Genomic DNA, 12,419 nt, shown 5'->3' on the forward strand with positions numbered 1-12,419 from the left:
TCTGTGTCAATCTCACTGGAAGCTGCAGAACGGAGCTGTTCCTACTTGGCCATCTTGGAAGTGACTAATTGATTCTTTAATCCGTAATCTGAGCATCCACCTTATATGGGATTGCTTTTCACGATGACCACCATGAATAGCCAGATTATAACATGTTAGAAAACAAAACACACAGGGGAACTTACCAAAAGGAGTAGAAGATTTCTTAGACAAAATTTCAAAGCAGAAACCATAAGGCAGAAAAAGTGGAGGGGATTTCATGATGTTACAATCAAATAGATCTGTTGCAAGTGACACATGGCAAAATGAGAGAAGTTATGTGCAGTCTAAAACTGACAAGAGATTAGTGGCCTCAATATACGAGGAACTCCTGAAAATTAACAAGAAAAATAAATAGACAAAGGACACGAGCAGGCAGTTTTTGGGAGAGGAAACCCCAAAAGCCAGGAAGCATATGAGGAAGTGGCTAAGATCATTAGTACAGAAATACACATTCTAACAATAAGATATATGAGGAAATAGTTCTCCAAAAAAGATACACAGATGGTCAATGAGCACAAGAAAAGGTGCTGAGAATCACCCAGAATAAGGGAAATGCAGATGAAAACTACAGTGAGATAGCACTTCATACCCACTAGAATAGCTACTGTCAAGAAAACCCGAAAATACCGAGTGTTGGTGAGGAGTGAGACATTAGACCCTTGTGCACTACCGGTGGGTATGTAAAATGGTGCCGCCACTGTGGACAACAACATGGCCATTCCTAAAAAAAAATTCAAATAGAATTACCGTATGACCAAGAATTTCCACTTCTGGACGTATTCCCAAAAGGATTGAAAGCAGGATGTTAAAGAGATATTGTATATCCAAGTTCATAGCAGCAGCATTCATAGGAACCAAAAAGTGGAAGCAAGTGTCCATTGATAGACGAATGCATGAACAAAATGTGGTCTATACATGCAATAAAATATGATTCAGCCTTAGAAAGGGAGAGAATCCTGTGATAGGCTACATCGTGGATGAACCTTGAGGGCATTATGCTAAGTGGAATAGCCAGTCACAAAAAGACAGTATTCCACTTACATGTGATACCTAGAATAATCAAATTCATAGAAACAGAAAATAGAATGATTGCCAAGGGCTGGGGCAAAAACGGAATGGGAAGTTAGTATCTAATTGGACACAGTGTTTCAGTTTCACAAAAGTAGAGTTCTTGAGATGGATGGTGGTAATGGTTGCACAACAATGTGAAAGTATTTGATACCACTAAAGTGTACAATTAACAGTGGTTAAGATGGGAAATTTTATGTTCTGTGTGCTTTACTACAATTTGAACCAGATACAACCTTATACATACATGGTAGGCAAAATTCTCAGCTGAACTCCAATAGGCAAGCACTTCTGTAATCCTCTCCTGGTAAATGTGCTTCTAATTAATAGATTCTAACAAAGGTGATGATGTGCCATATGGAAAAGGGGAAAAGAATTTGCCAATGTAATTAAAGTCCCTGATCAGTTGACTTTATGTTAATGAAAAAGGACATCATCCAGGGTGCATCTAATCAGGTGAGCCCTTTAAAAAAGGATGTAAAGGTATGAGACTATCTCTCCTGCTGACATTGAAGAAGCAAGTCTCCTTGAGTTCTACAACCACTCGGAGATGAATACTGCCAGCCACCTGAGGCAGCCTGGAATCAGATCTTTCTCCAGTGGAGCCTCTGATGAGAATGCAGCCTGGCCAACACCGGGTTACAGTCTGAGCAGAGCACCCAGCTAAGCCGAGCCCAGAATCCTGGCCCACAGAAAATGGGAGATGAAAAATAAATGGTGTTTTAAGCCACACAATTTGTGTTAACTTGTTCTGCAGCTGTAGAAAACTAATGCAATCTTTTAGGCAAAACTAATCTAGGAAGAGACAAGTATTGGAGCTGGGCACAGTGGCAGATGCCTGTCATCCCAGCTACTCAGGAGGCTGAGGTGAGAGGATCCCATGAGCCCAGGAGTTTGGGGCTGCAGTGAGCTATGATCGCACCTGTAAGTAGCCAGGGCAACAAGTGAGACCCTGCCTCAAAAAGAAAAAAAAAAAGAAGTCTTCATGTTGGGTGGGGAAGTGGGGAAGTTGATGAGGGCACTGCTTGTGGAGTATAGACCAGAGCCACCATTGTGGAGGGATTTTGATCAATAGTATGCATCCCTTACACCCCTGCTATTCCATTTCTAGGTAGAGATGTAAAAGAAATTGACACAGATTCGTCAAACATGCACACCAAGATGTTCACTGCAGAGTTCTTTGTGGTAGTGTGGGGATGGGGGCTGCGGGAGGCACCCTAGGGTTTCTATCCTGGGGAGAATGGAGAGACAAAATGGGAATGGTCCACACCATGGAGAATTATGCAGCCACAAGGAGAGATGAAAGGCACACATAGCCACATGGATGGGCCTGAACACAGGGCTGAGTTTAAAAAGGAAGAAGCAACATGGGAACCCAAACATTACCATTTGCAGACATTAAAAAACACATAAAGACTGTATCTCTTTTGAAAGAGCATTTTTAAAGCAGCACAGGAGGTGGGGGAATCTATGGGGAGCATGTTGCCCATGCAGGGGAAGGGAATGGGAGTGAGTGTGGAGATAAAAGAATAAATAAAACAAAAGTGGTTTTATTGGACCAACAATAATTCACTGAGTAGTTCAGCGCAACTTGAGGGTAAAATTAACGGCACCTGGATCTGGGGCAGCTGCAGAGGCAGCGACGTCCAGGCCTTTGTGCAGGGGGGCTAAGGTCACCCGTGCAGGTGGGGAAACAGTAAATGCCAATGAAGCAGGTGTGTGTGGTATAGAGCAAGCAAGAAAGGAGAGATTACTTTGGCCTAAGAGGGATATCTGCATTTATATTACTAATGAGTTTCCACTGTAAGCCACAGAAAGCCCGGCTCAAAGCGATTTTTTTTTTCTTTGCAAACAGAATTTATTGACTCAAGTGACTAAAATGTCCAGGCTGACTCCCTTGGGTGGGAAAGATGGTTGCCAGCAGGGCCAGGCGTATTCTCTCCAGCTAGGAAACCAGAATTGTGGACCTCCCTTTCTCAGAGGTTTCCACAAAAGCCCCAAGGCTGGTCCCCTTTGGTCAGAAAGAGTGACACGCCTGAACAAATCCCCAGGGCCAGGCCCGGGTCACATCGCCACCTGCAGACAGCAAGGGCTTCCAGCAGAGGCATGGCATGAGCACAAGCTCGTGGAGGGACGTCTTTGGGAACGAAGCTGGAAAAGCAGGAGGTGAGGTTCCATGGCTGCCAGCTCAGGCGTGACCTTCGCTGCCACTTACTCAACTTGGAGGCTGTTGGTGGATGGAGGAGAGCCCTGGAGCATTTCCTCCCAGAAAGGAAATGCCTCCAGAAGTGCCTCCCTCCAGGTCCTTCTCACTGCCAAAAAGTCCCTTTCCCAGAGAGGAAGGAGGCTCAAGGGCTCAGAGCGTTCTCAACACAAATGACTGTGGGGAGAGCCCTCGTGGGGGTCTGGGTCATTGCAAGAGGGAGCTCATGTGGATGCAAATCTATATAATCGGTTGCCAAAAAAGTACTGAGCCGGCCTGTTTTCATCCTGTACCAGGCGGCCTGCAGAGGACAGAATGTCCACGCTGTCTCTACAGAAATCCTTTCCGGCCAAGCCCCAGGGCCTGGGGGTTCTCCAGCACTTAACCACCAGCTTTCCTGCCCTGCCCGCACAGGAGCAGCCAGTGGGTGGCTGCCATTATTGTCTCCAGGGGCACTGGGGGCGATGCTGGGCTGGGTAGGGCTGTGTGGGGCTGAGGGCAGTGTGGGTTCTGAGGGTCAGGAAATGACCTTCCTTTATGCACTACCACAACACCTCCCACAAACCACTCCTCCTGCTGCCTGGGGTTTTGAACACAGTCCTGGCCTCTTTATGGCAGTGGCAGGCAGTGTGGTTTTGGAATGGCCAGCCTGCCACAGGAGGCAGAGCTCCCACTGTGCCAGGAGGCAGAGCTCCCACTGTGCCGGCAAACAATAAGCACTGTTGTTTTTCCCCAGAGTGGGGCTGCCCGGTACTGGTCTGTGCCTGTCTCTCTGGAGCAGGAAATCGAGCAGAGGGAAATGTGTGGATTGGTTAGAGTGCTGTCAGCTGCAAGGAACAGAAAACCCAACTCAAAGGGGCTTAAACAATCAAGATGTGTCTCCTGTGCCAAGCAGTGCAGAGGTAGGACAGCTCAGGGCTGGTTAGATCAGGGCCGCAGGAAGCCAACAGGGACCCAGGTTTATTCCACATTCCATGCTGCCCTCCTCTTCAGTGGGCCAGTCTGTTTTCAGGCCAGCTTCCCTCATAATCACAAGACAGCTGCCACAGTTCCAGGCATCACCTCCAGATATGACAACACCCAGCAAAAGAGACTCTCTTCTCCTGGATCCATCTTTTAAAGAGTAAGGGAACTTTTCCCAGAATTTCACCCAGCAGCTCTTCCATCATGTCTCACTGGCCAGAATTGCATCACAGACCTATCCTTAGCCAGTATTTGACAGAGGAAACAGGAAAGCCATGACTGGCTTGAAGGGCATGGACTACCCCAATAGCACAGGGTTTGGATGCTCCTGCAGATGCTCCAACAGCCTTCACCACACCAGGAGACAGAAGTTCTTCCCAGTTGGAGATCAGCTTTATTCACCATTGAGGATGTGATGTTTGGAGCTGTAGGGGCCATCTTGCAGCAATGGGGGGAAATTCAAGAACATCTCAGACTTGCTAACGCCATGCTTTGCCTTTACTGGGCCGTGAGACAATCCTGGGACCACATAGGTTTGTTACGTGAGTAAAATGAACTCCTGTTCAATGAGGCCTCCATTAGTTGAGTTTTCTTTACTTGCAGCCCAACTGACACAGAGTTCAGTTGTTCTGGGCAGTGGAGGGACAGGAAAGGCTCCAATGGCGGCCATTCTCCTTTGGGTTCCCATCCTCTGTGATGAGAAATCCTCGTAAAAATCACCCACCAGGACACTGAGATGGCCAAGTTTCTGCTGACCTTCCATGTGTCCTTGCAAACTTCAGAGGAAACTGGACCCTGGGCAAAATGATGAAATTAGAGAGTCCCTGAGCCCTTCTTCTCGCCAGAAAACTCCACCCATGACCCAAATTCCCAGAGGACATAGGAAATTATCAGTTATAATTGCAAATAATAAAGACTTAGAAACCTGACAAGAGGGTCTTAAGCAAACACGATTTGGGGTTTTTCTATTCCTTGAGTAATGAGAAGCCCAAAGGTCAGGATCCATGATGGTCCCACTGCTGGGGCTGTGGTGAGGCTATAGGGGACCAGGGTCCTTCCAGCTCCCTGTGTTGACATCCTCACCAGGTGCCTTCATCCTCAGGGTCACAAATACCTGCTGCTACACCTTCAGGCAGAACTTTGTGCCCCAGGGAGGAATATAGGGAAGGGGAAAGGTACAGTGAAGAGCCACCAGGCCCAACAGGAAAGCAGTAGCTGTCCTGGAAGCCCCACTCTGAAGATGCCTGTCATGGGCTGTACTGTGTTGTGTAACCACCTTTGGCTTTGAGGGAGAGGAAGGGGAGAATGGCTGTGGACTAGGTAGCTAGCTGCGTCGGCCACCAGGTGTGGAGTCCGGAAACCTGGGACTCAACCCAACACTGCTTCCTGCTGCCTTCAGTAACCCCAGGCAGCCCAGGTCATTGCTGCAGCCTCAGCAGCCTCTCCTGCCTGGCAGAAAGTGGGGGAAGAGAACTGCCTCCATGAGGGTTCCTGAAGGCCGGGTGCTCACTTGGCCTTCTCCCCATCTGGGGCAATGGGTCCTAGGGCAAGCATGGGAATGGGAAGTGTGGCTTATTCAAGGCTCTTCTGATGTCAAGTGATAGAAATTGATTCAACTCATCTATAGGGAAAAAGGGCGGGTGATAATTAATTTATTTCAGACCCAATGGGCAAGAGGAGCAGTCAGACCTCAGGAAGGACCTGACCTCAAGCTAGCAAGCCCTTGGAGACAGAGGCAGCCACTCCTTCTGGCTCCCCGGCCCCAGGGTTGCCTGCCTCTGCTGTTCTCCCCTCACCCACTATACCTTCTTTCCCTCTGGATGGAAAGGGGTTTCTCAGCCTCACAGCTTCTGCATTCCCGTGAACAATGGGCTGCCAGCCTCTCTGAATTCGTATTTCACATTCCTAGGAGAGACTGTCTGATGATCCAGCTCACCCTGATGTCTGTCTCTTGGCCAGTCAATCCAGCCATCGAGTTAGAGCAGTTCCCAGAAAAGAGGGGCTGGATGAGGCTGACCAGCACACTGCAAAATTGACTTCAGGGGAGGAAGAGAAGCAGAGGCAGGAGGGTCCTCTTGGAGATCTGGGGGAAAGAGAGACAGGGCATTCCTTTAGGACTTGTGCCTCAAAGACCAGTGGGAAGAGACAGCTGGGTGAGGACAGGCTTCAGGTACTCTCATGTGTCCAGATCAAATATGGCTTTAACCCCTCTCTAAGTCATCGCAAATCTTTATTTTGCAAAGAGCAGAAAATCCCATTCAAATGGCTTGGCTGAAAAAGGGAATGTGTGGACCCACCTAACTGAAAAGTCAGAGCCAGGAGGGACTCAGGCATGGTTCGATCCAGAGGTTCAACATTTACTTGCAATATTTTCTCTGCAAGTTTCATTTTGTTTCTGTTTCCAGTTCTCTACAAGTCATTCATCTCTATTTCTTTGTGAGACAGTTTCATTTGAGGCTGGCTTTCCCCCTGTGGCACAAGTGGCTGCTTTATGTCAGCATTTCAGTGAAGTCCTTAGATGGGCTCTGAGTGGCCCAGCTTTTGTCACATGCCCCCTCCTGAACAAATCAACTTCTGTTGGGAGGGAAGGTAGTTTGCCGATTGGCTTGGTCAAGTCACAGTCTCCCTTCTTCTCACCCCCTTCAAGAAGGAAATCGGCTTCTTTGGGCTCACACCATCCCCCAGCAGATCTCTGGACTATAATCAAGAACAGGGAGAAAATGAAGCAAGTGTTCCCACACCAGTCATTTCCAAGAGCTGGCCAGTTAGCACAGAACAAGAAAACACACGCACGGGGCACTGGCATGTGGGCAGCTGAAGAAGGGCCCTGAAGATGTACAAGTCCTAATTTCTGGAGCCCATGAATATGTTAGGTTACATGGCAAGGAGAAGTTAAGGGCCCAAATGGGATTACGGTCACTAATCAGCTGACCTCGATGTCAGGAGATTATCCTGAATTATTCAGGTGGGATGTGCAAGAGGGAGGTAGGCGAGTCCGCGTGAGGGTGCGCAGTGTGAGAAAGCCTCACAACAATTGCTGGCTTTGGAAATGGAAGGGGGCTGTGAGCCAGGGCATGTGGGCAGCTCAGAGAAGCACAGAAAGAGATTCTTCTCCACAGTCTCCAGAAAGGAACGCAGCCCCGATGACGCCTTTGCTGTAGCCCAGTGACACCCAGGTCAGAGTCTGACCTCCAGAACTGCAAAATAATAGATGTGTGTTGTTCTGAGCCACTGAGCTGGTGGTAATTTGTTACAGCAGCAGTGAGAAACAAAAACACGGCATTCCAAGAGCAGGACTCCGCATGGCAGGAGTGACAGAGTGGTGCCCAGTGCAACGGTGTGTGACAGAAATACAACATGCACTGCAATGGGGATCTTAAGTTTTCTAGTGGCCACATTAAGAAAGAAAAAGAGGCCGGGTGTGGTGGCTCATGCCTGTAATACCAGCAGTTTGAGAGGCTGAGGTGGGTGGATGGCTTGAGGTTGGGAGTTCGAGACCAGCCTGGCCAACATGGTGAAACCCTGTCTCCACTAAAAATACAAAAATTAGCCAGGAGTTATGGTGGGTGCCTGTAATCCCAGCTGCTCAGGAGGCGAGGCAGGAGAACACTTGAATCTGGGAGGCAGAGTTTGCAGTGAGCCAAGATCGCACCACTGCACGCCAGCCTAGGCAACAGAGCGAGACTCCATGTAAAAAAAAAAAAAAGAAAGAAAGAAAAAAAACAGGTAAAATTAATTTCAATAACATATTTTAACCCAATATATTCAAAATACTATCATTGCAATGTGTCATCAATATACAAAATATTGAGAAGGTGTTTCCCATTCTTTTTAATCCCCAGTTTTAGAATTCAGTGTATATTTTACACACAGCACATCTCAACATTTCTGAGCTCCTTTTCAGTGCTCATCAGGCACACATGGTTAGTGGCTGCTGCCCTGGACAGCACAGGCCTAGTGACTGTACTTTTGGTTGTAAGGGTGGCAGTGGCTGGCATGAACCAGAACAGGGGTTTGTTTGTGACAATGACAAGGAGACCGCTAACCCCTGCTGATCTGTGTGTCCAGTTTTATTTCTCTTTTTTCTAATTTTTTTATTTCCATACATACCCTGCTTGTATATCAAGCTCTTTTCTAATCAGGGATCCTCAAATGACAGGAGTTGACCTCTGATTGTGTTTGTGCATTTCAAAGCCCAGAGCTGTGACCTCAGCCACGGTGGGCAGGATGGGTGCTGGAGAAGGGCATTAAGGCTCCCAGCTTTGTGGGGGAAATGGCATCTTCTTGAGTGAGTGGGGAAGTGCAAATAGAATATGCACAAGCTAGGAAGGACATTTTTAAAGCCTGTGCTTCGAACATTCTTCCTCTAAAGGATCAGGTGAGCTGGCTCAGAGCAGGGAGCCAACCGCCGAGCCAGGGTGAGAGGGCTTTGTATTTGGAGAGTGAAAAGAATACGGTTGTTTAGGCTTTGGACTCAGAGCATCAGAAACTCAGGAGAAATGAGATCAGCTGAAAAAGAAATGGGTTTGATGTTGTAGACCAAACATGAACAGTGGGGAACAGGCTGAAAAACGAGGGGGGAACAGTCAGCAGCTTCCACGGCTTCTCCCAAATGGAGGGAAGTGGGGCCAGCTCAGGGGACAGGCTGGAGGCTTATGACGGAAAGATGGTGGGGTCCAGGTGTGGCAGGACAGGAGGCAAAGCTGGGGGCTGCTATGGGACAGAGGGGGCAGAGGGAAAGTTGTGCTGCTAATGGGGTCACAAGAGTCACTTATGGCCTGGGGCCTTCAAGAACCAAGGGAAGCCCTCCCAGAGCCCAGCACCACCACAAGCAATGCTCACGGCTCCAGCCAGCAAGACTTGGGGTAGCAGCCCCCAGCCTCTCTCCCCATATTGGGGACAAAAGAGAACTGGAGAAGCCAGAGAGAGGGAGCTGGCCAAGCATTTCCGGAGGGCACAGCCCAGGCCTCCACCATCCTCTCCCCATGTGTGCTCAACCCTTAAACACTTTGCTAAGCATTACAGGTCAGGCCCCTCCCCTGTGTGTTCAACCCTTTAACACTTTGCTAAGCATTACAGGAGTTCTTCTGCTAGAAGTGGCCAATCAAATGTCCCTGGGCTTGGCTCTTGGTCCATGGCAACATTCCTTGCTTTTGGAGAGGGTGTGGGGTCCAGGAGCTAAGTGTACCCTTCAGCCAAGTCATATATCCTCTCACTCAACCTCACAATAATCATTCCAGGTGGTATCATTCTTACCCATTTTACAAAGGTGAGGTTGACCCTGTGTAATAGTCAGGGTAGGCTTGGTTACGCTGCTGTAACACACAGCTCTAAACATCTCATAACTTAACACAGTAGTTTACCTCTCACTCCCACTCATGGGGGCTGGCGAGGGAATCTGCTCCATGCAGGTCGCTCAGGGATTCAGGCTGATTGAGGCTCTGCTGTCTGGAACAGTGGCCTCTGCCAACTCCCTGGCAGGGGAAGACACAGATGGAGGTGCGTACTGGCTTCTTTAGAATTTGGCATGATCCTGCCTAACTAGAAAGGTGCTGAGTAGTCTGAGGAACATCTGGGCTGTCTGAGGATCCCCTAGTCCCCTAGATTGGGAAGTGGGAGCGAGGCTTAACTGAAGCGTGTCTAATGTCAAAGTCCTTGCTGTCAGCCCCGCCTTATGCAGCTTCCCCCCTAAACCACTGTGAAAACGTGTGAGCTCTGTGGTAATGTGCCAATTCCAGGGGTGTCAACACCATGACCCCCAGATATTCTCATACACTGCCTCCTTAGCCCATCCCAGGCAAAGAGGGCTCTGCAAACCAGGGACCCTGCGAGGCCAGGGGACAGTGGGATTATACTGCCCCATCCCCTCTGGCCTGCCTCCCGCCCTTCCAGCCTGCTCACTGTGTCCCTGCTGAGTCCCATGACTCTCAGCTGCCCTCAGGATCCTGCCTCCGAAGAGTCCTTTCCTTCCTGTGGAATCTGGAGCCTGGTCCTCCTTCTCCAAGGCAGCACCTGCCAGGTTCCTCACTGGCAGCAAGCAGCCTTGCTAACAGCCTTGCTAATCCGTTAATTACCTGCTTCTAGCAGAAGAGCTGTTAATTGAAAACTCCACCCCCTCCTTTAATTGCCTGCCTGCCTCTGGCTGTCTAGGCTTCCCTGGGTTCCCTCCAGGCCCGCAGCCCTTGGTTCTCTGCCTTTGGGCTCCTGACTTCTTCCTGGTCAATAAGGGTGTCTGTGGCTGTCTCTGCAGTGCTCATTACTGGGGTTGCCAGGTGAGAATCCGGGGCTACACTCCCTAGCCTGCAGCTAACAGCCTCTCTCCTGCCTGGCCCACTGTGGGAGGAAGGAAAGCATTTAATGCAATTTGCCCCAGAAATTAAGGGGGAGATAACAGGCCAGTGGGAGGATTCCACAGGGTAGCAGATTTTACTGAAACCAAAGGCTGAACTTCTCCAGGTCAGAGCTAGCCAGAGGGGCCGGCCACCCAGAGGGGCTGCACCACTTCCTGGAAGGGTCCACCCTGACTCTAAGTCTCAGCCCTGCCCGGAGGATTTTCTGACCTCAGTCCTTTGAGTCTGGACACACGAGGGCTCAAGGTGGCCCCGACCTTAATCACCACTTCCCTCCCAGATACATCACCAGATTCTCCAGGCACAGTTAGAATTTGGCAATATTGACAATCTGAAGAGTGAAAAAGAAGTGAATTTCAGAAAAATGAGGTCAATATCCCATTTTCCAATATAACTGTATGAATATTGTATACATATATGTTGATAAACACCTTTTTTAAAAGGTCTGATACAAACCCCACCAAACTCTTACTAAGAGTGGCTACTTCTGGAGAGTGGGAGAGGAGAGGGAGAGGGAGGACTCACAGTGGATCTTCACTGTTTGGATTATTTCACTAGAAAGGGAGCAGGCGAGCATTAGTCCTCAAAGGCCCTATGATCTTGAACAAGGCACCTGGCCACTCTGAGCCTCAGTGCCTCATCTGTAAGAGGGAGGCTTCTCCCATGTCCCCTTTTACTCTGGATTAGGACGCGTGGTTGAGTGCAACCTAAACCAACCCAAGCTTGTCTAAGAAAAGGGGAAGAGTTTCCCGGGACACAAGGATTTTTATGCATCCAGACCTTAGGCAGCGGAGAGAATCCTGGGGAGGGCTCTGCACGTCTCCTTACTGTGTGCCTGCTTCCTGTAAGGTCCTCTGAATGGGCTGCACCATGGTCAAGCCATTATGACCCCTGTGACCCACACGTACAGGCCTCCTGGAGTCACAAAGCCTGGAGCACTAGGAGAACCACTAAAGAAGAAGAAACAGCTAGTTCCTGCCTTAACTGATGAACTGACCTTGCAGCATTGCACCATTGTGATATGTTCCTGCCCCAACTAATCCATCCACCTTGTGATGTTGTGCCTTGTGACCTCCCCCACCTCGTGACTATGCACCTTGTGAAATTCTTCCCCTGCCCGAAAAAACTGCCCCTAACTGTAGCTTTCCACTACCTACTCCAAGCCTATAAAACTAACTCCACTCCCACAACCCTCCACTGACTTTCTTTTCGGACTCAGCCCACTTGCATCTGAGTGGATAAACAGCCTGTTGCTCACACTTAGCCTGTTCAGGGCATCTCAAAACACAGCAGCCAGGTTTACACCTTATGGGCCCAGCCCTCTAGAGAGTTGCAGGTCCTATTTCTAAAGTCCTGGGCAGGGATCTTACTGACTAGCTTGGTGACTGCATCGAGGCTGATAGGCTGGGTTATGTAGGTAACAAGTAGCCCACTGTTTCAATGGATGAAAATAGCGAAGTTTATTTCTGACATATGCAGTATGACCACTGAGTCAGCAGGAGGGCTCTGGGCATCACAGTCACTGGGTGACCCAGTCTGACAGAGTTTCATCTCAACAGGAGTGTCCAGGATCTCAGAGACAGGAATAGAGAACATGCTGGCCCACACAAGGGCTCCTAAGGCTTCTGTCTGAAAGTGACATTCCACCCACTTCCACCCACATTTTGTTGGTAAGAGCAACTCACATGGCCATGCTTGAATTGAAGTGGATGGAGAAGTCAACTCCTACCATGGGCCTGGCATAAAGGAGACTTGAACATCTGTGAACAGCCCGGATGACTACCATAATGACA

General features: G+C 49.1%; 1 long non-coding RNA gene across 2 annotated transcripts; it reads right to left on the reverse strand.

Moving 5' to 3' along the window:
* Positions 1-3,402: 3,402 nt before the first annotated feature.
* On the reverse strand, positions 3,403-11,689 carry LOC105373494 (uncharacterized). Of its 2 annotated transcripts, none has more exons than XR_923085.3 (4): positions 11,407-11,689; positions 6,574-6,973; positions 6,082-6,359; positions 3,403-5,071 (listed from the first exon to the last, which is right to left on the reverse strand). It is a non-coding gene; the product is annotated as an uncharacterized LOC105373494 (long non-coding RNA). The 2 variants fall into 2 exon arrangements; XR_923084.3 differs by lacking the exon at positions 11,407-11,689 and adding an exon at positions 9,640-10,690.
* Between the last annotated feature and the right edge of the window lie 730 nt (positions 11,690-12,419).

Source organism: Homo sapiens, chromosome 2 (assembly GCF_000001405.40).
Source record: "Homo sapiens chromosome 2, GRCh38.p14 Primary Assembly".
In the NCBI taxonomy this organism is placed as follows: Eukaryota; Metazoa; Chordata; class Mammalia; order Primates; family Hominidae; genus Homo; species Homo sapiens.